We start from the raw sequence: 6,539 nt of genomic DNA on the forward strand, positions 1-6,539 counted from the left end.
GAGGCTGCAGGATCTCGCCACTGCACTCCAGCCTGGGCGACAGAGCAAGACCCTGTCTCAAAAAAAAAAAGAAAGCAAAGAAAGAAAAGAAAAGAAAAAAAAATCATCCTCTGATCACATTCTCCATAGTCTGGTGGTCTGACCTCTGACCACACATTAAGCAGACTGATTCTTGCTTTCACACAGCTTCCACCAAAGTCTTTTCATCATAGTCTTTTTTTGGGACAGCATCTCGCTGTGTAGCTCACGTTGGAGAACAGTGGCAAGATCTCAGCTCATTGCAACCCCGCCTCCCGGGTTCAAGCGATTCTCCTGCCTCAGCCTCCCTTGTAGCTGGGACTACAGGCGCCCGCCACCATGCCCGACTAATTTTTGTATTTTTAGTAGAGAGGGGGTTTCACCATGTTGGCCAGGCTGGTCTTGAACTCCTGACCTCAGGTGACCTGCCCACCTTGGCCTCCCATAGTGCTGGGATTACAGGCGTGAGCCACCGCACCCGGCCTCCATCATAGTCTTAACAGCACATACTCCCATTTTCCCCAGCTATTTCCACCATTGCCTATAACAATGTGCTATGGTTAAGGTGATCGCATAGTTTATCATTAAAACCAGAACACTTTTGAGAGTGCAAGTGGAACCTATTAATAATGACACAGGGGCAATAGGCATAAATTGAGACCCTCTTGGCCATACTGGGATGTCTGGGTCTTGGGTGAGGAGTCCAGCTGCTAGACCCGGGGACTTTGTTATTTTTTATTTTTTTTTGATATGGAGTCTTGCTCTGTCGCCCAGGCTGGAGTGCAGTGACGTGATCTCAGCTCATTGCAACCTCTACCTCCCGGATTCAAGTGATTCCCTGCCTCAGCCTCCCAAGTAGTTGGGATTACAGGCATGCGTCACCATGCCCGGCTCATTTTTGTATTTTTAGTAGAGATGGGGTTTCACCATGTTGGTCAGGCTGGCCTCGAACTTCTGACCTCGTGATCCGCCCGCCTTGGCCTCCCAAAGTGCTGGGATTACAGGCATGAGCCACCGCGCCTGGCCGACCTGGGGACTTCTTGAAGGCAAGAACCATAACTTATTTATCTGGGTGTTCCCAGCATCTTTCCAGAGCCCAATGCATGGTAGGTGTTTAATGCACATTTATTTATTTTTAATTTTATTTTTAGAGACAGGGTCTCATTCTGTTGCCCAGGCTGGAGTGCAGTGGCATGATCACGGCTCACGGAAGCCTCCAACTTATGGGCTCAAGTGACCCTCCCGTCTCAGTTCCCTGAGTAGCTGGGATTACAGGTGCACACGACCATACCCCACTTAATGCACATTTGTTGACTGAGTGAATGATTTCAGTGTAGAAGGTGCCAGGCCCTGAGGGCTCCACAGGATGTGGGGGGGCAGCATTGCTGGCAGCCTGGGGTTTCACCTTTGAGCCCCCCATTATTTATTTATTTATTTATTTTTTGAGACGGAGTTTTGCTCTTGTTGCCCAGGTTGGAGTGCAATGGCTCAATCTTGGCTGACCACAACCTCTGCCTCCCAGGTTCAAGCAATTCTCCTGCCTCAGCCTCCCCAGTAGCTGGGATTACAGGCATGCGCCACCAGGCCTGGCAAATTTTGTATTTTTAGTAGAGATGGGTTTTAGTAGGGTTTTAGTAGAGTTTAGTAGGGTTTTAGTAGAGATGGGTTTAGTAGAGGTGGTTTCTCTATGTCGGTCAGGCTGGTCTCGAACACCCGACCTCAGGTGGTCTGCCGCCTTGGCCTCCCAAAGTGCTGGGATTACAGGCGTGAGCCACTGTGCCTGGCTGAGTCCCCCATTATTTATAACAGTTGGCTTTCCTTTCAGACACTCCTTTTGTGTACTGTATGCTTTGACCTTTGTGTCTAGAACTTCAGATCATTTCCATAATGCCTGACTGAGACCCACCAGCCTGAGCCCACGGAGGATGCCAAGCGGAGGCACCTCTCCCTATCCTCCTCAGGGTCAGTGAGCGTCCGTAAGTGCCTACCGGTCAGCATGGGGATCGGTGACCAGTTTGTCCATGGGCCTAGTGACGAACCAGTCCCAGCAGCTTTAGAATCTGCAGTTTAAGGCCGGGCGCAGTGGCTCACGCCTGTAATACCAGCACTTTGGGGGCCAAGGCAGGTGGATCACCTGAGGTCAGGAGTTCAAGACCAGCCTGGACAACATGGCAAAACCCTGTCTCTACTAAAACTACAAAAATTAACCTGGTGAGGTGGCGGGTGCCTGTAATCCCAGCTACTTGGGAGCTGAGGGAGGAGAATCACTTGAACCCAGGAGGCGGAGGTTGCAGTGAGCCAAGATCATGCCACTGCACTCTAGCCTAGGTGACAGAGCAAGACTCCGCCTCAAAAAACAAAAACAAACAAATAAAATAATCTGCAGTTTATCTTTGGTGGATCCCTTCCCCTTTCCCTCGCAGGGTCCTGTTGCACAGCAGGCGTCCTTAGGGCTACCTCATGGCACTCCTGAGCACTGCAGTTTTCCTATCTTTTGGGTCCCTGCATAAAGATAAGGAGGAGGGTTATCTAGTCTGAGACCCAGCCTGCATAATTAGCCCGCTCAAAGCCTCCCACCTCCCTAATTACTGTTATCATGGATACACCCACTCAGCAGGCCATTCCTACATTCCTATTTCCCCCTCCTTTGCACAGTTCCCTAGGGGGCTGGAGAGGTGATGTGGGAACCCAAATCCCTTCGACTGCGGCACAGAGTCCCCTACTTCCCTGGCCAATCTCTGGGAACCCCTAGAAAGGAAGTTCTCCACCTCCCTCAACCCCAAAACTGCATGGGCAGAACTGCCAGGAAGGAAGGGGTAACCGCCAGCAAGATGCCCTGAGCTTCAGTTTCCCCATGTGTAAAATGAAGGGGTTGCACAGATGATCTTTAAGAGTTATCTGAGGCTGGGCGCAGTGGCTCTCGCCTGTAATCCCAGCACTTGGGGAGACCCAGGTGGGCAGATCACTTGAGGTCAGAGGTTCGAGACCAGCCTGGCCAACATGGTGAAATCCTGGCTCTACTAAAATACAAAAAAAAAAAAAAAAAAAAAATCTGCTGGGCATGGGTGGTGTACACCTACAATCCCAGCTACTCGGGAGGCTGAGGTGGGAGGATCACTGGAGCCCGGAAGGAGGAGGTTGCAGTGAGCCGAGATTGCGCTGCTGCACTCCAGCCTGGGTGACAGTGAGACTCCCTCTCAAAAAAAAACAGCCGGGCGGTGGCTCACGCCTGTAATCCCAGCACTGTGGGAGGCTGAGGCGGGCGGATCATGAAGTCAGGAGATCGAGACTATCCTGGCTAACACGGTGAAACCCCTTCTCTACTAAAAATACAAAAAATTAGCCGGGTGTGGTGGCAGGTGCCTGTAGTCCCAGCTACTTGGGAGGCTGAGGCAGAAGAATGGCGTGAACCCAGGAGGCAGAGCTTGCAGTGAGCCGAGATGGTGCCACTGCACTCCAGCTTGGGTGACAGAGCGAGACTCCATCTCAAACAAACAAACAAAACAGTTATCTGGTTTTGACATTCCATATCTCCACCCTGAACTGTGACTCTGGGATGGGCTTAGTCAAGCATCCCCAGGGGTCTGTCTGTCTGGGGAACTCTAATGCCTGTGCCCTGCCCTCCCCACACTTCTCTTTCTTTTTCTTTTCTTTTTTGGGACAGAGTCTCACTCTCTTGCCCAGGCTGGAGTGCAGTGGCATGACCCCGGCTCACTGCAGCCTCTGCCTCCCAGATTCAAGCGATTGTCCTGCCTCAGCCTCCAGAGTAGCTGGAATTACAGGGTTGTGCCACCATGCCGAGCTAATTTTTGTAGTTTTAGTAGAGATGGGGTTTTACCATGTTGGCCAGGCTAGTCTCAAACTCCTGGCCTCAAGTGATCCGCCTGCCTTGGCCCCCCAGAGTGCTGGGATTACAGGCATGAGCCACTGCGCCCCGCTCCCTTTCTTTTCTCGTTTTCTGAAATTGTACATGAGACTCAAGAGTCTTGGGCAGATGTTTATCCAAGGCTGGGCCTTCGGTTCCCTAATTGCCCCAGGAGATAAAAGGCTAAGAACAAGAAGAGGCCTGGGCCAGGCTGCCTGGGCTTGCTGCAGGTCCTGGTCCCAGCCCATCCTGGGCCCAAACCTGAGTCTAGAGGCTTAAGCAAGAAACTGAGTTCAAAATAAAAAGTAGGAAAAAACTGGCCAGGTGTGTTATTTTCCACGTGGCCACTGCATTTCAGCCTGGGCAATAGAACAAGACTGTGTCAATATATATATATTTTGAGTATACATATACATGTGTGTGTGTGTTGTTAGCTAGGCCTGTACTCTTCAGCTGCTCAGAAGGCTGAGGTGGAAGGATCCCCTTGAGCACCAGAGTTCAAGTCCAGCCTGAGCAACACAGTGAGACCTTGTCTCTAAAAAAAACAAACAGCCGGGAGTGGTGACTCATGTCCCAGCACTTTTGGAAACCAAGGGGGCGGGTCACCTGAAGTCGGGAGTTCAAGACCAGTCTGATCAACATAGTGAAACCCCATCTCTACTAAAAATACAAAATTAGCCGGGCGTGGTGGTGCATGCCTGTAATCCCAGCTACTCAGGAGGCTGAGGCAGGAGAATCCCTTGAACCCGGCAGGCAGAGGTTGCAGTGAGTTGAGATCGTGCCATTGCACTCTAGCCTGGGCAACAAGAGTGAAACTCCATTTCAAAAACAAAACCAACAGAAACAAAAAAAAATTCCACACCTAAGTTTGGGAGGGGGAGGGGATTTATTGATCCATGTAACAGAAAAGGGTAGGAGTCTGTGAGCTTCGGGCATGGCTGGATCCAAGTGACTTGATTATCTGGAATTGTCTCCATATCTCTTTGTTCTGTTTCTCTCTCTTTTTTTTTTTTTTTTGGAACGGAGTCTCGCCCTGTCGCCCAGGCTGGAGTGCAATGGCATGATCTCGGCTCACTGCAACCTCTGCCTCCCAGGTTCAAAGGATTCTCCTGCCTCAGCCTCCCGAGTAGCTGGGATTACAGGTGCCCACCACAATGCCCGGCTTTTTTTTGTGTGCTTTTTGTAAAGATGGGGTTTTACCACGTTGGGTAGGCTGGTCTCGAACTCCGGACTTCGTGATCCGCCCGCCTCGGCCTCCCAAAGTGCTGGGATTACAGACGTGAGCCACCGCGCCCAGCCATTCTGTTTCTCTTGTGGTAGCTTTATACTCAGGCAGCTTTACCCCTTGTAGTGGCAAATGACCTGCCAGATTTCTTGGGTGCCATTTTAGCCACCCAAGAGTTTGTCCTTCTCCATAGTCATGCTTTGTTCACTGCTGAACCAAACGGCACCTAACATGAGGTGCTGAATGAATGTCTCCAGCAAAAGGCCCAAGATTGACTCTTGTTGGCTCAGATGGAGTTGCATGTCTTCTTCCGCCCGATCACTGTGACCTGCCACGCCTGGGCCACATGGGTGGAGTCCGCCCTCCCCACACATGGACTGAGATGGGTGCAGAGCAGTTCCCCAGAAGGAAGAGATGGGTCCTTCCACCTGGGTCCTTCCTTTAGGAGGAAGGAAGAGATGCGTCCTTCCTTCAGGAGGGTTGCAAGCAAAGCCACTTTTTTTGGTTTTGGTTTTGGTCCCCCGTGTCCTTAGAACACAGAGCTGCTGCCTTTTTCTCTGAGTCATCCCCAACATAGACCTGCATTGAAAATGTACCAGCTTGAGTTCTCATGGTGCTGGCTGCGCTGAGCTCCTAAAGCTGCAGTCCCAGGATAACCCTCTTTAGTGGAGGATAAGAATAGGGCTCCTGCCGGGATGCGGGGCTTCTTGCAGCTGGATCAGGTGGGGGGCAGGGCACCAGCATGGCCAAAGATGCCAGAACCCAGGATTCCTTCTGGGAAAGGACAGTGGGCAATTCCAGGCACTGGACCCTTCCAATCTTCTCCTCTCCACTCTAGTCAGGAGCCTGTGATCTAAGATTCTGTTTCTTCATTTGGATTGGGGTGGCATGGAGAGAGGGGCAGGGCTTGGCTGAGGGTGAGGACACCTCAGATGGGTGCCTTATACTTGATCTGAGGAACAGCTTTTTTTTTTTTTTTTTGAGATAGTCTCACTCTGTCACCCAGGCTGGAATACACTGGTGCGATCTCAGCTCACTGGATCCTCTGCCTCCTGGGTTCAAGGGATTCTCCTGCCTCAGCCTCCTGAGTAGCTGGGATTACAGGCACGCGCCACCACGCCTGGCTAATTTTTGTATTTTTAGATAGAGATGGGGTTTCACTATGTTGGCTAGGCTGGCCTTGAACTCCTGACCTCAAGTGACCTGCCCACCTCGGCCTCCCAAAGTGCTGGAATGGCAGGCGTGAGCCACCACGCCCGGCCCATCTGAGGGGTTATCTACTGAGGGGACCCCAGAGTCTCAGCTCCTGGTCTCATCGTACCCCCTGGCTGACCCTGAACCACCTCCTGGCTCATCCACATGCTCTTCCCACACCTGCAAGAACCGAGGTGTGGTGGGGCCGAGTGCCCAATGCAAGAGATTGGACTCACG

This window comes from Homo sapiens, chromosome 17, assembly GCF_000001405.40.
Source record: "Homo sapiens chromosome 17, GRCh38.p14 Primary Assembly".
Classification (NCBI taxonomy): Eukaryota; Metazoa; Chordata; class Mammalia; order Primates; family Hominidae; genus Homo; species Homo sapiens.